This window comes from Homo sapiens, chromosome 14 (assembly GCF_000001405.40).
Source record: "Homo sapiens chromosome 14, GRCh38.p14 Primary Assembly".
In the NCBI taxonomy this organism is placed as follows: domain Eukaryota; kingdom Metazoa; phylum Chordata; class Mammalia; order Primates; family Hominidae; genus Homo; species Homo sapiens.
In genome coordinates, this window is record NC_000014.9 from 56113327 (window position 1) to 56134409 (window position 21083).

General features: G+C 43.2%; 1 protein-coding gene across 4 annotated transcripts in view, besides 4 other annotated features; it reads left to right on the plus strand.

Moving 5' to 3' along the window:
- Positions 4473-4712: an enhancer, noted in NCBI's record as "active region_8436". NCBI's record gives its function as "activates an Ori minimal core promoter by ATAC-STARR-seq in GM12878 lymphoblastoid cells {active_cell/tissue: GM12878}" and the evidence as "EXISTENCE:reporter gene assay evidence [ECO:0000049][PMID:35858748]".
- Positions 4843-4902: a silencer, noted in NCBI's record as "silent region_5787". NCBI's record gives its function as "represses an Ori minimal core promoter by ATAC-STARR-seq in GM12878 lymphoblastoid cells {active_cell/tissue: GM12878}" and the evidence as "EXISTENCE:reporter gene assay evidence [ECO:0000049][PMID:35858748]".
- Positions 4943-5202: a silencer, noted in NCBI's record as "silent region_5788". NCBI's record gives its function as "represses an Ori minimal core promoter by ATAC-STARR-seq in GM12878 lymphoblastoid cells {active_cell/tissue: GM12878}" and the evidence as "EXISTENCE:reporter gene assay evidence [ECO:0000049][PMID:35858748]".
- The window catches only part of PELI2 (pellino E3 ubiquitin protein ligase family member 2), a 183114-nt gene continuing 167115 nt past the window's right edge, over positions 5085-21083 (plus strand). For 3 of the 4 annotated variants that reach the window (XM_011536990.3, NM_021255.3, XM_005267890.6), the window contains exon 1: positions 5085-5411. Coding sequence is in view for 2 of the 4 variants with exons in the window: in NM_021255.3 (NP_067078.1) it covers positions 5335-5411 (77 nt within the window). In the remaining 2 variants the exon portion in view is untranslated. Of the gene's footprint in view, positions 5412-6409; positions 6537-21083 lie in introns of those variants that run through there. The other variant, XM_011536992.4, reaches the window with a different exon arrangement.
- Positions 5493-5562: a silencer, noted in NCBI's record as "silent region_5789". NCBI's record gives its function as "represses an Ori minimal core promoter by ATAC-STARR-seq in GM12878 lymphoblastoid cells {active_cell/tissue: GM12878}" and the evidence as "EXISTENCE:reporter gene assay evidence [ECO:0000049][PMID:35858748]".

The window sequence follows — 21083 nt, forward strand, 5'->3', positions numbered from 1 at the left end:
CACTGGTCTTGGCAATGATTCCTTGATATGACACCAAAAGCACAGTCAATAAAAGCAAAAATAGCCAAGTGGGACTGCAGAAAACTACAAAGCTTCTGTACAACAAAGGAAACCAGCAAGAGAGGGAAAAAGCATACCAAACATAGGTATGGAATGGGAGAAAATATTTGCAAGACATATATCTGATAAGAGGTTACTACCCAAAATACATAAGAAACTCCTACAACTCAATAGCAAAACAAACAAAAACACAAATGACCCAATGAAAACATGGGCAAAGAACTTAAATAGACACTTCATTAAAGAAGATATAGAAATTGCCAACAGATATAGCAAAAGATACCCAGTGTCACTAATCATCAGGAAATGCAAATCAAAATCACAATGAAATATCATCTCATATCTATTAGGATGGCCACTATAACAAAACAAAGCAGAAAATAACAAGCGTTGGCAAGCATGTGGAGAAATTTGAATCTTTGTGTATTGTAGATGGGAATGTAAAATGGTGTAGCTGCTATGGATAACAGTATAGGGGTTCCTAAAAAAATTAAAAATAGAGCTAACGTATCATCCAGCAATTCTAATTCAATGTATTTATCCAAAACTATTAAAATCGGGAACTCAAAGAGATGTTTGTACTCTCATGTTCATTGCAGCATTATTCACAGGAGCCAATCTAAATGTCTATTAACAGATTAATGGATAAGGAAAATGTATATGCTTACAATGAAATATTATTCAGCCATTAAAAGAAGGAAATCCTGTCATATGCTATCATATGGGTAAATCTGGAGGCCATTATGCTATGTAAAATAAACTAGTCATGGAAGGACAAATGACTACATGATTTACTTATACGAAGTATCTCAAAAAATCAAACTCGTCAAAGCAGAAAGTAGTATAGTGGGTGCCAGGGGCAAGGGGAAGGAGAAATGGTGAGCTGCTGTTCAATGGGTATAAAGATTCAGTCACGTAAGATGAAAAGGTTCTAGAGATGTGCTGTAGAACAATGTTCTTACAATTAACATGCTGTACTGTGCACTTAATAATCTGTTAAGGGGGTAGGTCTCATGTTATGTGGGTTTTTTTCCCACAATAGGAAAAAGTCAATGTATCTTACAATAGCAAATCATGAAAATGCAAATAAAAAATTATCACCCATTAAATTAGTAAGGATTTTAAAATGCTGGTGGGAGTTTCCTGAGGCAGCCTCTCACATACTGCTAGTTACAGTATAAACTGGCAGTCACAACCTTCTGAAAAATGGTTTGGAAATATGCATGAAAGGGTCTTAAAAATATTTGTACCCTTTAATATAATAATTTTACCTATAGAAATATGTCTTCATGAAGTAATAACAAATGTAAACATGTTTATTATTTATAAGAGCAAAAATTAGAAACCACCTACATATTCCATAGGAGGGGAATGGTTAATAAATGTTGATACTTATAATGAAACAACAAAAATATTTTTGAAGTTTTAGTTACAAGAGAAAACTTCTGACAATACAATATTAAATTAAAAAGGCAGGATACACTTTAGAGAGGGTGATTACACATATGTCAAAAAATTAAAAATAAAAAATGAAGGAAATACACAAAAATGATAAATAGGGTTTTTTCTGGGTAATGAGATTATAGGTGATTTAAGACAATTTTTGAATCCTTTTTTTCGTATTTCTAAAACTTTTGACAAAGAGCTTATATTATTCTCAATCAGAAAACTACAAGAAGATAACAGCTTAAAAATGAAATGTAATCTAAAGTTGCATGAAAAAATATACTGTATCTTGCTCGGTTTGTCCAAACATATTCTTGAAAGTGTCTACTTGCTCTTTAGTCTTTCCAAACATAAACATGTAAGGTAGAATGTAGAATGACCAAAAATTAGATGCTTCATTCTAGAAATACTGAAAGGTATTTGACTGACTTTAGGTATGTTTAAAACAAACATACACTTTTTCACTAAATCTTTTGATTTTAACAAAACAGGAAGACACAATTGGGGAAAAGTCAAGATAAAGCCTTACATTATTTATTTGTATAGTAAGCATATGGCCTCTGGTAGCCCAAGAAATAGCACAGACTCCCTCTGGGATGATGTGGGCGGGTCATCCTCTTCAAGAGAGTGGTCTGGGGTGAGGGACATAAATGGAATGGCAAGCAGAGAGAGCAGGGAAGGGTCTGCCCTGGCAATCAAGTCAGCCAAGCCCACCCTGGCTCTTAGTGGGTTGGCAGATGGCACAGCCAGATTGTCCCACCAGCCTGGAGCAACTCACTAAAACAATTACATTCAAGAGAGGATAAATCCATGCTACAATCAGATTCTTAATATTAACTGGGGATGATGGGGTCATGTCCTAATTGGTTTAAGTTGTGAGCAAATAACTCTGATAAGAGATGCACAGAGAAAGTCACACGCTGGCTTCTTTAGGAACACAAGCCATCAACGCTCTGAGAAAATCAAGTTAACACCCCTCACCACTCTGCCATCCCCCCAGCCCTACCATTTGATACCATTTGAGAAGTGTTTTTACCTTTACTCATGTCTGTTTCCTTGAAATCAGAGAAAGCAACTGTGGGGACCTTGGGTACATAGAGTCTAGAAAAACAGACATAGTTTTGATGGGCTCATGCTGTGTTTCAAGAAAATTGAAAGTGTGAATGAGTTGCCAACAGTTAAAAATTGAGAGGTTTGGTGTAATCAGGATTTGAGGCTTTTAGAAAAATTACATCTAGCAAGAGTGAACTGTCATTGTCACATGGCAACAATCAGCTAGAGATGAGTGACAGATAAGCCCTGTAGACGGCACAGACCCTACCAATGTGCCACAGTCCTCACTCAGCCCATTTGCTCATTTGGATTTCCATGCCTGGTCCCTGTATGTATTCTTGACTGTGATCAATAGAATTGCTCTTACCAGTCAGAAGCTTTCAGGGCTCAGAGTGATTCACAGAGCTGATCTAGCCTTGAGCTGCCTAGGATAAAAAGCCTCCATTGACACAAAAACTCATTCACAACAACACTTCCTGTAAGTCAGTCTGATAAAGACAGACCTGATTAAGTACTATAAACATTCTCAAAGACATGTTGGGAGAGTAGAGAGACATGTCCCTCTGGAAGTCAGGGGTGCCACAGGCAGATAGCTAGACGGGGGGGCCTTGGAAGATTGGGATATCCTATGGGAAACTCTCAGCCTAGTGCTGGGAACTTAGTAGGAGGTTAATACATATTTCTTTCTATCTTCCTAAGAGCAGATGCGAAGCACAGCAAGGAGGAAATGCAGCCAGAACAGTATAATGCAATGCAACGCACACAGGCACAGCAGGCCAAGAGAGAAGGAAGGAGGTAATGGTAGCCTAGAGAGCAGAAGCAGCAACAGAGGAGGCCTAGAGAAGCTAGGGTGACAGAGGCAGGCATCATCGTAATCGTGACGGCGCAACTGCAGAATGATTCTGACAGATCTTTGATAGTCATACAATCTATGTGGTAAGTAGATGCACAGAGTACATGAAGACAACATTAATCCAGCAGAAATTTGAAAGAAATTTACATCAACACTGGGGAGGAGACATGATTTATCCCTTTAGTGAAGGAGTGCTGGTTAAAACTGTAACAGATTTTTTATTACATATAAAAAATATAGAGAATACGTAATATATGCAGAATAACTAATATTCATTTGAAATACAGAATTTCTATAGTTAGCTGAAATAAGTTAACTGTTTAATAAAGTTTATTTTTGGCTTACCAGTGGTGTGGCTTTAGTTACTTTGGAATAATTTATTTCTAAAACCTCAATTAAAAAAATCAGTTCCTAACTGAAGTAAAATTATCAGAAACATCATGTCACTACCGTAATAACCTGTCAGAGAATGTTACACAAGGGGTGCAGCACAGCGGAATGGAAGGTTACAGATGCAATTATTATTTTTTCTAGCCCTTTGCTTCGGGTCATAGCCAACCAGTCACTATACACAGGGTAGCTTCTGCAGTATTTATTTCTTTAAATATTTAACAGTGTTGAGAGGCAATGACTCGCAATAATATGTAGAGTTTCTAGCACATTATGAGTGCTTAATAAATGTTAGAACAATAAAATCCTGTATGATGAAAAACAGCAGTCAGTAAAACTATACAGTCTACGATATTTTAAAGCCATAGCAATAACTAGTTTAAAAAGAATAGAAAGCAAACAGTGCATTGATTAAATCACGGTCATAAAGGAACATTTACGTTCACTAAAAAGTCCACCCAGGTAATTTCCCCTTGTATGTATTAGGGGATGGAAAGAAGGCACAGGAAAAGTGGATAAAGTATGGATTAAAAAACAACTCTTCCCCCATCCCCCCGCCACCCCCCAAAAGCCAGGTGGAGCTCTATTGACCACAAGCCGGGGTAGCTACATCCAGTGCAACGGTGGGGTGCTCCAAGCGCCTTCGAAACGTCCTCTACGCCAGCACCAACTGGCAAAACCTTCTAATTTTCTAGACGCCTTTCTGCTTGGTTTTGGAAGGGGAGGCACCCAAGTGGGTGTGTGCGACACCTCTAGTTGTAAGCCGGGACACAGTGACGTCGAGAGAGCGCTATTCTACTCGGAGAGGAAGTTAATCCCATCGAACTCCAGCCAGGAAAACGTGGGCTTGGGAACCGCGGCCGCTCGTTTCCAGGATCTCCCGCGGGCCTTCGCGGCTGAAGAACCAGGCGGCGAGGGCTGAGGACCCCGCGCTCTAAGTTTGGGGAAGGAAGTGAGGAAAAAAAACAGAGCTGCTCCTTTAAGAACTTCCTTTCCCTTTTACTCTATGTTTACATAACACAGGGGCCGAGCCTCCGCCGGGCCGAGGGGGGCGGGGAGTGGGCGCGGACGGCCCCACGCGCCGGGGGAGGGGGCGCCCCGCGGGCCGGGGGCGGGCGCCTGGCTCTGCGTGGGGCGGGGCGGCTCCCACCTGCCCGCGCGCTGGCCCCCGCCTCCCCCGCGCGGCCCCAGCCTCTCGTGCGCCCGCTCCCTCCTCCTTCCCTCCCTCCCGCGGGGCTTCGGCGGCGGCGCTCAGCGCAGGCAGGTCCCCCTGCTGCCGGGTCCCATTTGTTGCCGGCTCTGACTCGGGGCGGCCGCGGCGCGCGGAGCTCCGGGGAGTCAGGCGGAGCAGCCGCGCAGCCACGACGGAGCAGCAGCGGGACTGGCCGCCCCGCGCCCCCTTCGCCGCCGTGCCCTTCCCCGGCGCGCTCACCCCGTTCTCGGGATGGGATTGTAGCGGCGGCGCGGACTCGGCGGGGATCGCGGCGGAGGCGGCGGCGTCGGCGGCGGCGTCGGCGGCCGAGCGGGGCTCCATGTTTTCCCCTGGCCAGGAGGAACACTGCGCCCCCAATAAGGAGCCAGTGAAATACGGGGAGCTGGTGGTGCTCGGGTGAGTCCTGGGGTCCCTGGTCCCGGGCAGCGGCGCGGGCGGGGAGCGCCCGCATCCTGGAGCGGGGCTGGCGGGGTGGCTCGGTGCTCTTTGGGGACCGCCGGGGCGCTCGGGGCGGCAGGAGAGGCTCTCAGGGCCCGGACGGCGGCGCGGGGGCGGGATGCGCCCCATCGGCGCGCGCTCGGGGTGCTGCGGCGGACGCCGGGCTGCGCTGTCCGCGCGGAGGACGCGGCGGAGGAAGTGGCCAGAACTCGGGCGACCCAGCGGGGGCAGCGCCGGGCACCGGGTCCGCGGCCGTATCGTGGGGGCGGGGGCAGGGGCTCCACTTCCCGCGCGCCGCGTCCGGGCCGGGGAGGGCGGGCAGGGACTCCATGTGAGGCGCCGCGGTCGCGGGCGCTTCGCGGGGTCGCTTCCCGAAGCTGAGAGGCCGGCCGGCGCGGAGCCCCGTCTTCCCACCTCCCTCGCGGACCGTGGTACCCGCGCCCCCGAACTCCGAGCGCGGCGCCGTGAGCTTGGGCCGCCGCGGGCTGTGGGATCCCCGGCTGCGCTTTGCAAATTGTTCCGATGACCGCCGCGGGCCGCCGCAGCCCGAGAGCAGTGAACTGTGTGTGACCCGGGCCGGCCGGCCCTCCGCTTCTCCCCGCTTGGAGTGCTCTGGAGGGGAGGGACAGGATGCGGCTGCTCGGGGCCTGGCACCGGGGCGCGGGCCGTATCCCCCCGGTCCCGGCCTCGCTGATGCCCTCCCGGCTGCGGGGAGCTCGCCAGCCTCGCCCGCCTCGGCTCCCTCTCTGCTGGTGAAAGCCGCATCTTGAAGATAGTAATTATGTACAATCGTTAAACGGCAGCAATTAGAGACTTCATCTACTTCCTGAGTTTCCTTGTGACATTTCTATTGTTTACCCTTAATAAGCCAGGAGAGAGGCTTTGCGGGCTTAAAACTGGATATAGTGGGCAGTGAAAGGGGAGGGGGAAGGGGGAAGTGCAGGAAACTGGGGGGAAGGAACAACTTGGGTTTAGTGTTGAAGAAAGGATTATTTTTTCCTTTGGATGTGTCGCTCTGGGAACCCGCGCTTTTGTCCTTCTGCGTTGAAAGACCTGTATTCAGAACATCCTCGGCGCTGATAGGTAGGCTTAGCACACATATGAGGAGTCATGGCTGTGGGAAGACTCAGGGAACTTTGCAAAACGTGTTTTGATAAGTGAGTGCCTTGAAGTAAGTGCTGACTTAAAAATAATTTAAAGAGAGGAGTTTTTGAGGGAAGCTTCCAGACACCGCACAACTCAAAGCTTCCCAGTCTTCCTGACTTTGTTGCTAGTGCATTAAGTGGGGGTGGTATTGGAAATCTCATTACCTATTTTGAAGCTGTTTGCAGATAAGTGTTTTTCTCACCTACATCTTAATTGCACTTCAAAGACAAATATCAGGGTTCACAGGAAGGCGGGAGGAATGACAGGAGAAAAGCCGCAGTTTAGTCTGTCTTATGTAACTTCAGCCCAACCTAATCTTGTGGAGTTTGGTTTTGTTTGTGTGGCTGGCTTCAGTGTGTTTAACACTGTGAACTTGACGCGGAAGATTAACGTATGCCAGAACTTTATTTCATTATTTCCTTTTGAGGAAATCATTGTTGAGATGTTTCAGAAAAGCAGCGAGTGGGCCTGGAGAGGTTTTGTGTTCATAGCTGGAAGTGCAGGGCATTCCGAAGCCACGGAAAGGATTGAAACCCTGGATTGTCCTAGTATCATAGTCTCACTCCACAGGAGCCCGGGATATAACGTTGCAGTTGCATATGGTCTGCCCTTTGCTAATGCTTTTCCAGGAGACCAAAGTATGACATAGTTGGCACTTAGGGGGCGAGACACTCAACCGTCGTTTGTGTACCTACTCTGTGCCTGTGCTGTTTAGGCATTGCTGATGCAGTGAGAACAGGGAACTTTCCTTTTAGAGTGGAGTGACAGGCATAAACAGAAAGAAACATGCAAATAGAGGAGTAATAAGTGACAATTTCAGGTGCAGCCAAGTTCTGAAGAGGAGTTGATAAACTTGGAGAGTGACTGCTTAGGTGGGTATTGGTTTCTTCGGCTGGAAGGTGAGGGAAGTTCTCTCTGAGGAGGTGAAATGTGAGTAGAGGATGCTAGTCTGGTTTTTGAATACTTGAATTGTGGTATTTTTCTTTTTTCGAGGGTAGGTTTCTGACTGTTTACCAATGTTGAACACATTGAAGAGTGCAGGTGAAAGAGTGACTAGGTAGGAAGATTTTTAGAGAGAACCTTATTCATATTCCACCCTTAGGATTTGAGACAGTGTACTTCATCTTAAAACAACAATAACATTCACATAGAATTAATATCATCTTTATGATATTATCTTTATGTCCTCTGGGGTATAAATATTGGAAAACAGAAAATTTCAAGTAGATTTTCTGAATAATGAGATGATTCCTGAGATCTAAAAATGCCTAATATTTGGTATTGATAGAAGCTTTGCTTGTCAAATTCAGTGCTTTTTTTTTTTTTAATGGTTATGTGACTGTCCTTTTTGCTCACTTTCGAATGTCATAGTGAAACATTACTAGGAAATCCTGGAGAGCAGAATGAAGAGCTGATAGATGTCTATATCCATATCTAAATACTTCTATATCTTTTTGTGTGTTACACAGTATTATTAAGAGATTCCACATAGCTAGGATTTTAGTGAGCTCATCACTTTCTGGGCTGATTAGTGGAATTTAATTATTTCATGATTCCAGCCAGTTAATGTATCATAGCCACAACTCTTTGTTGTGTCCACTACTTAACTGAAGGTAGAGAAAAATGACTGGTCTAACCAGCAGGTCTTTTTGCTATAATTTTAAACTTACGTTTTAAGGTTAGGGAAGTGGCTCAGGATTTGAGAGGCAGTTTGGTATAGTGGGAAGAACATGCATTTACAGGTGGGTGACCTGAATAAGCCCTTCTCTCTTGCTGACTGGCTCTGTGACTTTGGCTTAATTCCTCCTCCTCCTCTCTGTTTCTTTATCAATTTGCAAAATATGATTGGATTAGGTAGGCTTCAAGAGCCCTTCCTGGTCTGTGCTCAGTAATTCTGTTCATTGGCGCAAATGTAGAAACTATTTAGTTACATATTCTAAGTTCCCTGACAGTTGTTTTAATAGCAGAAAAGATCAATGCTGTGGTTGTTTTTTATGAAGATGTGCGTAAAAACAGAATGTTTAAAAAAGTTGTAATGATATACATCTGTTTGACTCATTGGTGTTAGGTTACCCATGGGAGCATTTAAATTGTGTAAAACTTTATGTTCCAAGTTTAAGAAAGACAGTGATGTTTTGAAATTTAGCTAAATAGACTGAAATAACCAGCATAAAGAGGAGATGATCTCATGATAAAAATTTAGAACTGAATAGCATTAGGGGAAATTCCTAATGTAGATGATGGGTTGATGGGTGCAGCAAACCACTATGGCACGTATGTACCTATGTAACAAACCTGCACATTCTGCACATGTATTCCAGCCTTAAAGTATAATAAAAAAAAATTAGGACTGGAAGGGGGCCTAATGGTCATGGTATATGTTTAGCCCTTATATTTTATTCTTGAGGACACAGGCTCCCAGAACAAGAGAGGTTCAAGTTCATAGTTGATCTGGGCTGAGCTGGGTGGCTGTACTCCCCTACTCTACCCTTTCCTCACTTTAAGACAGATTCCAGCAGCGCTGTCAGTTCCTCAAAGCATCCTTTCTGGATTCAATTTGAAGCATGTGGCTCTCTTGCTGACTAATGGCCCATGGTGGTTTTTGGAAAAATATTGCTTACTCTCTTAGTTCCTCTCACCTCACAGTTGAATGGATAATGCATTTTGCAAGACTTTTTTTTTTTCTTTTGATGCTTCACAAAATGTATTTTTATTGGCTCTCTCAACCAAGGGTTCTTAACCTAGGGTCCACAGATGGAGTTCGGGACATTCTTGAACTTAGATGGGGGAAAAACATGTCTTGATTTTCATGATATTCAAACTGCAGTTTAGCATTTTCATTCACTTATGAGTGTAGGCAACAAAAAGACTTGCTGCTAGATTTTGTTATTTAATGCATTATTACAGAAGTGCACATGTGTATAGCAATTTAAGACTTTTGATATTTAAGTATAAGTGATTCCAATTGTAATCCTTTGTATTTTATTTTGTATGTTTAAAAACATTAGTCTGAGAAGGGCTCATTACATGTCATCAAACTGCCAAAGGGATTCTTGGCACAAAAAGAGGGTAAGAACCTCTACAAATGAAAATTTATAAATATGACTAAATATGACTGAAAAATGAAGTATTTTAGTAGAAATTGATAAGCTCTACAAAAGGAGGTAGATACCTGCCTCATTTCCTTTGGATGATTCAGTGTTTTGTTAGGTAAGACAAAGAGGGGTATAGTAGCTTGTAGAGTTTATGGTCTTTTTTTTTTTTTTAAAAGCAGGTCCCACTTTCTGTATGCTTTTTGTTGTTGCTGTAACCTCAGCACTTTGCCTTGACTACTCCACCCTTTGGTGGCAATAAGAAACCTTCAAATATACCCTAACACTTTTCCTTTTCTCATCCTCCACTCTAATTTGGGCCCAAAGACATCAAACATTAGTATCTTTTATAGACTAAAAGGTCTTTGAACTTTAAAAAAATTTATAAAACAAAATCTTTACTGTAGCTCAGCATGTGGGGTGATCTGAAGAGCTCAGATCTGTTTGTGTGGATGGAGTGTCTAATTCTGTGGGCTATTAAGGGTTACGGTGTTACTGGCTTTGAGTTGCTATATTTTCCTTTACTAACTTTAGCCTTGTTTGGAATATGTGGCTGTCTGTGTTGCTGTGTGGTTTCTGGTCTGGCTTTCTCAGATTTATTTATTTCTCTCTTTAACACACCAAGACTGAAAGCTTCATTAGGTCTTTTCATTTCTGGTTGTGTTTCATCCTGTGATCAATATTTGGGGATGCTGTGTATAAATGAAAGTAAAACAGGCTTGATTCAGGTTCAGTAATTTTACCAAACATTTTATCGAAAAGATAAAATACTTATGCACAAAGGACCAAAACAAAACAAAATAGCCGTTGCTATATTTGAGGAAGACCAATATTGTCACATTGGAGCACTGGTTTTATATCTGCTGTGCAGGGCTTGCAGTGTGGCCTTCCTGAAAGTAGGTATATGGGGTTGTAGGTTGGCTTTTGAATGGAGACAACAGCAACTTGGTAGACCTCATTGGTATGGGAGAAAAATAACTGTGAAAAGGAATTTATAATGTCTTTTGATTTAATTAAACGTTTCTCCTGGGGTGTGCAGAAATCTATTTTATAAAAAGAAAAGTAAAGGTTAGAATAATTCAGTTATTAGTTCTTACTGAGCTTATTGTCACCTTCATCTTCTGGAAAATAAAATAATAAGAGCAGAAAGTGCTTCATATTTCTTAGCTTTGTCTAAATCACCTGTTCTCAACCACTGTCTCAAGTACCTCATATGTGATGATCAGTCTTGAGGGTATGTGGCCAGTAATTTATGACAAGTAATAAAGTGTGGATCTTTCAAATGATTCAGATATGTCATGTTAATAATGTCATTTTTCACCCTTTTGCATTCTGATGTGTTTTCTCAAGTGGGAGAGAAAGGGGTGGAGTTACATCAGGCAAGCCAGGAATGTATGCATTCAGCAAATATTTATTGGCTGTCTACTCTTCCAGGCATGAGGAATACAGCTAGGACAAGGCAGACACATTCCTTTTCCTGGTGAACTGCTCTCTTATTTTTGTCCCAGCCTCTTTGTGAATAACCGTTACTGATACATGGTTCATTTATTTATTCCCCAAATATTTGAGCATCTGCCACTTGTCAGATGCTGTGGATTGCACTAAGGGATACGCAGATGAACAAGACAGTCATGGTCCCTGCTGCTGCAGCACTGACAGCCTAGCTGGAAGACCTGAAGGCTGGGATGGTGGATGTGTTAGCAGGGTCCCCTAGCCATGTGCCAGGATGAGATGGGGATGACCACGATGGAGATAAGAGGGAAGGAGTGCTTTCCGAAGAAGGTTTGGAGTATTCTGCAACCTAGAGATGAAAACGTGCAGCTACTTTGAGGAACAGAGAAACACTCTTTATGGCTAGGAAAGAATGATTGAATGAAACATTGTGAGGGATGATGATGGGGGGATATCATGAAGGGCTTATAAGATATTGGAAGGGGTTTGGACTTTACCCTAAGAGCACAGGAGACTGTCTCAGGGTTTTGCTAGTATGAGATGGGAGTGAAGAAAGCCCTCTGCTCTTTGCAGAGTGGAGTTGGAAGGCACAGTGGAGTTGGAAGGAGAAACTGAGGCTGCAGCCCAACAAGGCAGAGAGAGAATGGAGTGTGAGCTAGAGGGCAGCTGTCTTGCTTCTAGTTCCTGGTTCGGGTACCTCCTGAGACCTAGTTTCGTGTGATTGACCATTCATTCAGTGACTCAAGATACTGACTGAGGACCAGCACTGCTCCCAGCCCTGGGCTACACCAGCAAACAAGACAGACAGCTGCCCTTCCTGCCTGCTTGGAGCTTACCTTTTTTTGAGAGAGGTGAGCAAGCAAAGGAGTAGATAAAAAATGGAACTTCAGAGACTGCTGGGAGGAAACTAAAGCAGGATAAGGAGGAAGAGAGTTATTGGGTGGGCAGGGGGGGGGTGAATTGGCAGGGTGAAATGCTAGGGATAAGGTAGTGGGGGATCCTTTTGGACAAAATAATCAGGAAAAGCTTTTCCGAGAAAATAGTCCTGTGTCCTTTGAGAGTCCCCACTTCTTTCGGTTTTTACTTACTTTTTTTTCTGTTTAAGCCACCTTGAGTGGGTTCTGCTCTTTCAATCAGAAGATTCCAAGTATCCCGTTAAGAGGCAACGTATATAAGCAATTTACTGAAGGGAAAAATAGAAGTGTAAACAAATACAAGGGCAGATAGTTAAGTATCCCTGGACAAAAACGTGGTTCTGCCCTCTGTGCTGCTTGCCATGTGCCCAGAGTGGCCATTGAATTCCACCAGAGCGTATTGCCCCTTGAGGGTAGGAACCTTGACTTCCCCCCTCCTTGGAATGCTGGGCTTCCCTTTCTGGTGCATGTTAGGTACTCACTGAGCCTCTTGGAGAAATGGATTTCTGTGGCACACCCTAGTTTGCCACCCCACATGGAGATGTGGCCAGGGCTTAGTGAATGTTTCTGGACTTGGAAGGAGCACTCTGCTTCTGTAGCACAACTGCAGTTTTGTAAACAATCCTACCAACCTTTAGGGCCCAAGTCAAAGTTTCCCTGAGAAACTAAACATGTGCTTTACTGACATCAGATATTCCAGTTTCAACTTTTGTTTGTTTTTCTTTTTGTCAGTCACCTAGCAGTCATGTTGTCACCTGCAGAAAGTCCTGCCTTGAAGGGAAGCAGGCCATCTGTTCTGATTCCACCAGCTGCTCGGAGCTGCATTGCAGTGCGCCACAGTGGCGTTGAAAGGCTGTGGTCATTAATGCCTATTAATGATGGCTGGAAATACTGTGGCATACAAGCCTCTTGGATGACAGACCTAATAAATATGCATCAGGGGGCATTTTCAGCAGCAGGTTTAAGGCTATTGCGAGTCATTCTCGATTGAGGTTTTCTTTCTAGCCATCCGCATAATGCTTCTCACTCTCAAACACTTCACTCTGCTTATCCCTGCTTTTCTGCTCATGCAGAATCTGTTTTTAGGATAAGAAATCATTGTTTCAAGCTTTGTACTTCCATTCTTATTAGTACTGGTTTAACAGAATTTAACCAGAGCGAGCAGTTGTGTGTTTGGCTTCTAGGCTATTGGTATAAAACGGCTGATCGTGATTACCAAGTGCCTCGGAGGACCTCGGTGGCCCCCCTCCTTTCCCATCTTGTGCTTCCTGCTCCATGATTATAGAACACTAATTATAATCAGAACTGGTGATGGGTGAGCAATTAGGCTTTTCTGGACTGATGATTGATTGATGGATTGATTGATTGATTGCGTTGGGGAAAGGCCCTTCCTGCGGAAGGATTGTAGACACAAAGGAGTGTGCTTTCACACCAGATCCCAGAAAATTATGCTGACTAGATCCTTGATGTAGTACATAAGATTACATTATGGTTTGGGTACTTTCATCACATGCTGTGGATAGAATTCAAAATGCAACCTGACAAGACTGATAGGAAATAAATTCATTAAGTTTTTATTGAGTTGTTTTTTGTCTCCTCGGGTTGTTGATCATTCTAGTGAGCACAATTTCAGCCTTTTTGATGAGTTATTCCAAACATTAAGTACTGTACGGTTTGAAAATCTTAGCTAACAAAAGCATTTTTGGAGTGGCTTTATAATTTATAAGTCATCTGCAAGTCTTTTTGCATTTGTTAATCTCCAATATTATCTGAAATTTGTTGAGAGCGTGGCAGTTGAAGAATAGCCTAGCTTACTGAGAACCATGCTTCTGGCAGACTGGAACATAAGCAGCTTTCACCCAGGAGAGCTAATGCATGACACAGATTTTCAAGCTTTTAAAGGTCACCTGACATGAAATAACAGAACTAACAGAGATTCGAGTAGGTGGGGTAATCTATACAAGCATCCTGCAGGTACAGGATGGTGGAAGGACCAGAAGAATGTTTTAACACTGCATTTGGGTGGTTAAAGGACAGGATGAAGAGCTCATTTATATTGGTTGTACCTGTCTGTGACTGTCGGCAGTAAGAAGGTAGTACAGTTCCTGAAATACTTTATGTCTCCTCCACACCATGGAGAACAGTTCTGTGTTGGTGAGAAGCAAGCCAAGGCAGAAGATGGCTCTTGTGTGGTGCAGTTTACAAAAGAGAGACAAAATTTGATAGCAGCCACTGCTGCCAGCCACCTGCACAGCACTCAGGGTTGGGAGAGCTACAGGCCTAGAATCCACTGGTTACTGCCTCCAGATTGAACACTTTGCCATAGAAAGAAAATGAAAACATTCCTCTAGTAGCTAAAGTGAACGTAACTTCTGAAATTTCCCCAGATTCTGTTTGGGGAATTTTAGCATTTTTCATTTCTAATGAGAGGGACTAAAAGATGTGAAATCAAAACTTTTGCATTCAAAATTGATCAACTGAGTGTAAAAGAAATTTAAATAATTGAACTTCCAGATGATGTTAAGTCTGTTGCTTTTATAATTTTGTTGTTTTTAAAGCTTAAAATTACACTAAGAATTTTGAGATGCATGTGTGTATGTATATATTTTATTGCATGTGTGTTCTGCATGGGTATATTAAAAATGGGATTCATTGATCCTGCACATGGACCCCTGAACTTTAAGATGAAGAAAAAAAAATGGGATTGCCTGTACATACTAGGAATTAAGCACTATCTAAACATACACACTAAACACTGATCATTCAGTTTGTGTTAGGTGATGCTGTTGTTGCTGTTTTACGAGGCTGATTTCACTTCAGAGGACTAGGGGTGGTGGAGCCTACATAAGGAAATGCCCCCCAGGGGTACACAGTCTAAGGGCAAGACAGATGACTTAGCAACAAATCATTAATTAGGGTGTAGCGGGATGGTGGGCGAGAGCTCTGGGCATACTATATGCCAGGTTCCGTTAGGTGGTTTACATTATCCTTTCCAGGAGTTCAAATTTATTATCTGGGCAATGAGGCTCCAGCTTAATGACTTGTCCAAGCTCACTCCCCTAGTTAGTGGGAATCTGATTAGAAGGTAGGTCCTTGTGGCTCTCTTGCTTGATTATTTCCACCAGGGTGAAGGTGAGAGGCATGTGTATTGCTGGGAGATTGGGAAAGATTTCCTGGGGCAGTTGGCCTTTAGCAGAGCCTTGAGAGGTGACCTGGGTTTTTTATAGAGCAGTGGTAGTAAAAGCATGGCGATTTTGGAACCTTGAGGGGTATGGCTGGAGGCTGAAGTACTTGGGGAGGGAGGTGAAGTTGGAAAGTCAGGTTGGGGTATTGTTGGGGTATTGAAATATTTGGGCTAGGGTTATAGTAGGTAATCTCAGAGTGGTCCCTGCCTTCATGGAGCTTACAGTCCATCAAGAAGGAAGCCCTTTAAGCAAACCTGGCAAGGTGCTGCCAAGGAGAAGTACAGGGTTTCGTGTACAGTAGGGGACAAAATTTGTTTTTGGGGGAGGGCAGGTTTTTGTGGGGAGGGAGGGAATTCTATGTCAGCAGAGGTAGAAAGGGTGAGTTAGCTAAGGGTTAGCAAGGGGAAAGCAGAGTACCTGAAGGCACATCGAGAGGTTGAGGGGCTGAGAGGCTGAGGGATATCCAGTGCCTTTGGAATTGAAGGGGTGAGAGGGCCTTTGTGATGAGAGAGACTTGAAAGGAAGGACCTGGGCCCAGTAAAGGCTGTGGCCTCTGGGAGGGGGAAGCCCTGCTAATAACATTTCAAGGCATTATTGCAGACTCTAGGTAGCAGGCAGTGTCAGCCTTCTGAGTAGGTTAGTGAACTAATCCTTAGGACCCAGTCTTGCTTGAAATCTCCAAATAGGCTTGTTTTCCCTTTTGTAATTCATTTCCCTCCTACCTTTGTCTCTCTTCCCCTGCCAAAGAACAGTTGCTCACAATGGGCGTAGCCCCCTTCTGTGCGATGGCAAGGGTGAGGTGAGATAACGTGATCCATTTAATTATTTGGGCACTCAGTGGTTTGATTTTGAAACTTGTGCTGGAACCAGTGAATGTTTTGGGGTTAAACTCCACTGGCAGAGCAGTTAGTGATCCAAGAACTCTTTCCTGTTACCCATTCAGACAACTGTGCCTCTGGAGCCTTGCTTTCCCTGGAGGCCCAAGGGATGGGGTCCTGAGTGCTTTGTCCCCCAAGAAACGAGGAGAAGGACCCATAGCCCTGTGCTCTTTCCTGCATGGGAGGATGCACAGTGTGCCCACCAGCTAGGGGATCGCCCTCAGGAGGCAGAATGGGCTGCTTTTCCTCCAGGCTGTTGTTTCAAGCAGGGATGGACTTGTCCCTCTGCCTTGGGGTCTTGGCTGTCTCTTGCTGAGCTATGGCAGCAATAGTGTGGAGCAGGTGAGGACTGGCATTTAGCCCCCAGACCAGCCCCTCTGAGGGTGTAATTGATCCCATTGCTGGAGAAAAGAGCAGAGCAGATTTCTGGCCTTGCAGTGTTTGCTGCAGGTGGTGGTCTTGGATCACTGAGGGGCTGCCCTGCTTGGCCTGGTCGTGTTCCCATCTCAACTTCTGCCATTTCTTCAGGGTGCTCCTTTTGAATTGAAGTGGAGGTCCCTGGCCAGAACCTGCAGTTAAAAATGATCCTTAAAGAGGAAGCATCGAGATCTGAGTTTTTTTTTTTCTTTTCCTGAGGAGATGAGGAAATTCTGGCTAGACTCTTGCTGCTTAGTGGGTTGGTTCTTCCTGCTCCTTGGGGGAGGTCCCCAGAGGGCTGGCTCCTGAGCCCTGATGGTATCTGTCCTTTATTGAGTGCTGATTCTTAGCTGGGTTCTTTGTAAAGTGCTATTCGTGTGTGGCCTCTTTAAATGTTTAGCAAGGGAGGTAGGTACCATCACTCATCATTTTATGCATGAAACTGAGTCGTGATGCTTGAGAAGCTTGTTCAGGGCCACATGTGACAGAGTGCTGATTCGAACCTAGGTCTTTCTGACTCCAAGTTGTTCAATCCTGCCTTTACTGTGTGTGTTCCAAAGCAGTTTTGTATGTTTTTATTTTGTTTTTTTTTAACCAAACCCTTGCCATACTGGGTATTCTCATTAAACATAGTGGTGTAAAACTTCACTCATTCAAAGAAGTTACCAGTAAGGTGAAATGTTTTTTCCTTGGGTTTACAACTTATATTAACTTTTTTGGGAAGTTGCCCACATATGCGCTTTGCCCACATAAGTATTGTGCTCCTAGTATGTTTTCAGAAAATTAAATGTCTGTTTTTGAGGAAATAAAAATGAATCCTTATATCTTCCCTATTTACCTGAATATATTATATATAATTATATATCATATTGAATTGATGCATCAATATGATTTGGATGTTGGATAAAGGCAGGAAAAGCTGCCTTTGTCATCCAAAGTAATAAGTTCATTTCTCTAGTTTTCAAGATGATCCATTTTGTTCCTCCTTCCAGAAAAGCTGTCTAACCTTATTAGCTGTGGCATGTACCCTTGAAATCTTTCTTCTTGCTTTTGTTGCTGTCGTTGGTAATTTAGGCTAGCATTTGTATTTCGTTTATAGTTTGGAAAAGGGGCTTCAAGTACTTTTCCTCTCTAATAAAGGTCTATCTTTGCCTGGGACTAACGTCGCTGTTATGTTGATTTTTCCTTTCTTGTCTTTTAATCTTCCTGTTAGTATTGATTAAGGGAAAAGTCCATATAGCTCCTATCTCCTCACTAACAGTACTTGGTATAACTTGTTCCAGCAGTGGCACTTGGTTTAGCTAATCCAAAAAGCATAGTCCAACAGCAGTCCAGGAAAAGTGCCTTTTATTTGCTTATTGTATTAGCTTAGACCAGGTGCCAGCTCTAAGGCTTTGATGAAACTCAGTTGATTTAGACCCTTCTGAGAGCTGGCATAGCTTTACACTGTATAGTTTGAACCTTCCTGTGAGAGCAGTTAAGCCTTTTTGGTTACATAGGTGGTGAGGTACATATGACCCAGAGTTTCTGAAAAACATTCTGAGCAAACAGGCATCTTGAGATATCAGTTGGTAAAATACCAAAGGACAAATACAGCATCTTCATAAGCAGTATTAGATGTTATATGGGAAAAACCAGAGACCTGGAAGCACTGCAGGGAAGTAATTCAATCAGCAGGTTCTGCTAATGTAATAAGCGACACAAGGGTGAAACCTGAGTAGTTTACATGTACCAGAAATGCCCTTCAGTTGAATTATTGTCTTATCATGGTTGCCTGCCTGTGCACTACTGTTATGAATATTAAAAGACAGCACAGCTCACTTTTTCCCCAGATGGAAAAGGCCCAAATCTTCATCACCTTAGTAATTTGTTTCCTCCTCTTCCCACTCCTTACCGCCTTTAGTCAAAGCTCATGCTTTGGGTTTATTACTTAGAAATCTTGTCCGGGATAATAAAGCATACAGACTTGGTGTTGTATAAAAACTACCACACTCCAGCCTGGGCGACACAGTGAAACCCTGTCTCAAAAAAATGAAATAAAACTGCTCTTTAATCGTGCCGAGTTCAGGAGAGAGTTGCTTCTCTCTTTGCGGTAGTGAGGAGGGCTGGGCGGAGGGGATTTCCCCCTCACTGAATTTTCCTTGCTCCTGTGCAATTTACTAATTATAAATTAGTAAATTGAACTGCAAGTCTCTTGCCCAGTGTGAGAGGCTTATAAAGGGGCCCAGGCTCCTGCCACATGCCATATGCTCCTTTACAGCAGCCCTGGAGGAGGAGATGCCATCCCATTGAACAAATGAGGAAATGCTGATGCCCAGACACTGAGTGACTCGTGTGACTCTGCACAGTCAGTAAAGGATTTTGAAGTTCAGGAATTTGAATCCAGGTCTCAGATTCTAAAGCTCAAGTGTATTCCACTTCTCAAAGCCTGTGTATACATCTTATGTTTGTATCAGGACTTTACAAGACTGGAGGCACTTCCCTAAGGCTGTATCATCGTCCATAATAACTTTTGATAGAGACCAGGAGGATGTAACTTAATGTTTTACATTAAGGTCCGAAGTTGTGATGATAACAGTGGAAATGCTGGAGAGTTCCCTGTGGGACTCCTGTCGTGGGGTGGATAGCTGTGTAGGCGGACAGCCCTGCTGGAGTCACCCCCGCCCTGCTGCTTGATGGCTTGGCCTGCTTATGTTCGTGTTCTGTTCTTCCCTCCCAGACCCACGGAAAGGGTCAGAGGGTGCCTGCCCCTGTTTTTCCTGTTACCTCCATTCAGATCAAATCCAGACAATAGAGCTCATCTCCCTCAGGAGAAGGGCTTTCTGTAGCCCTTTCAGCTCAGTTTAAGTGACTGTTTCTCTGATCTAATTGGGTCTTTTTATCTACTTGAACACTCACCATGTTGGTTACCATAAATCACGCCCTCTTTGATTTTGCTTGTGAAATTAATTCACCCCAGTTTTCCCTAGGTTAAGCCAGTTTTAAGTTATCTCTCATTGATTCCTACAACTTTCAGATGTGAACACTAATCATTAACACAGATCATTTAGCTTTCTTCGCTAAAAAATTTGTAAATGGGATTTTTTTCTTAAGGCAGGCCATTTATATTTAGGTAATATTGTATTAATTTAAAAGGCTGTATACTAAATGGTATATTAATGAAAATTTTGGAAGAAAAATTTTTCCAAATTTTGGAAAAATCCTCATTTTTCTTTAATCCATGATGCTAATATTATTTTCGTTTTTTTCACTTTCACTTCTAGTTATTGTCCATATACATATTTTCATACACCTCATTTTAAACATAATATATGTGCTTCTTTTTAAAGTGTTAGCCAACTGACTTTCATTTTTAGAGAATTTAATTAATGCTAAAAATCATTTAAAATAAGCCAAATATATTTTTTCTTGATCAGAGTGAGGTATATGTTAATAGGTGAATACAAGTCTGCTTTTTTTCGGCAAGTTGAGGGGGCAGCATCAGGAATTGCCATGTGATTTCTAAGGTCTCTGTATGTTTTAACAGGATATATGGGAGAAGGAGAAACAGGGTGCTGTCCTCTGAGAGCTTTAGAAGATCTCTGAAAGACTCAGTATGTATGCACAGGGCATGGCTTCTGAAAATAAGTCTATTAGGTACTTAGAGGAAAGGACACTACATTTTACACATGTCCTGCCCAGGCAAGCTCGGGATCCAGTTTTCTGCCCTTGGGGCCTTTCCCCCACCCCCGTTACATGTTCATGTAACTTTCTTCTTTTTCTTCATCTTTTGTGCTTTGGCACATGCAACTCCCTCTGCCTGCTACAACCTGCTCAACTGATAGGATTTAGCCCAGGTGTCACTTCCAGCGTGATGCCCTTCCTGAATCCTCCCCCTTTTCCCTCCAGTCAGGAGCAAGGATCTCTAGTGAGCTTTCTGTGCCCTGTAAATGTCCCCTCCTTCAAGCACCACGACAGGGCAGGATCTGGGGCTCATTCAGCTGCCATCTGTCCCAGTACCTGGTGTACCTGGCACTACATGGAGGGTCAGAATGGATTGGAAATATGAACATTCTTATAAGGATGTCTTCTTCCTTCTTTTTGCTGTACCCTGCTGTAGTTTTTAAGAATGTATTATTTACTTTAAAATAGGTACTTAGCTTATTTATATTTCTTTATAAAGAATGCTTAGTTTATTTATATTTCTTTATAAAGAATGTGTCTTCCAAGGTAAGGTAGATTGTAAAATTCTTCAGCACATAAATATAGTAAGTACTCATTGACAATTGACTGTCTGGTTATAAAGTGAGATGGTGATAAATTTTAAAGTTTCCTTTTAAACTTTAAGAAAGAGAAGGGGTTACAGTCATGAGTACAGAGATGTGGCCTGAAGCTGACAGTAATTTCAGCTTTTTGCCTTAAATGATCTTTCTTAGTATGTAGTATTAAAGTCTCCCCAGAAAAATCAACAAACTGAAACATATTTTGACAGTGATAAAGCTTTATTTTTACTCAAAATTAGTTGCTCTGGTTTCTTATCTTTTCACTCTGAAGTCACAGATAAATA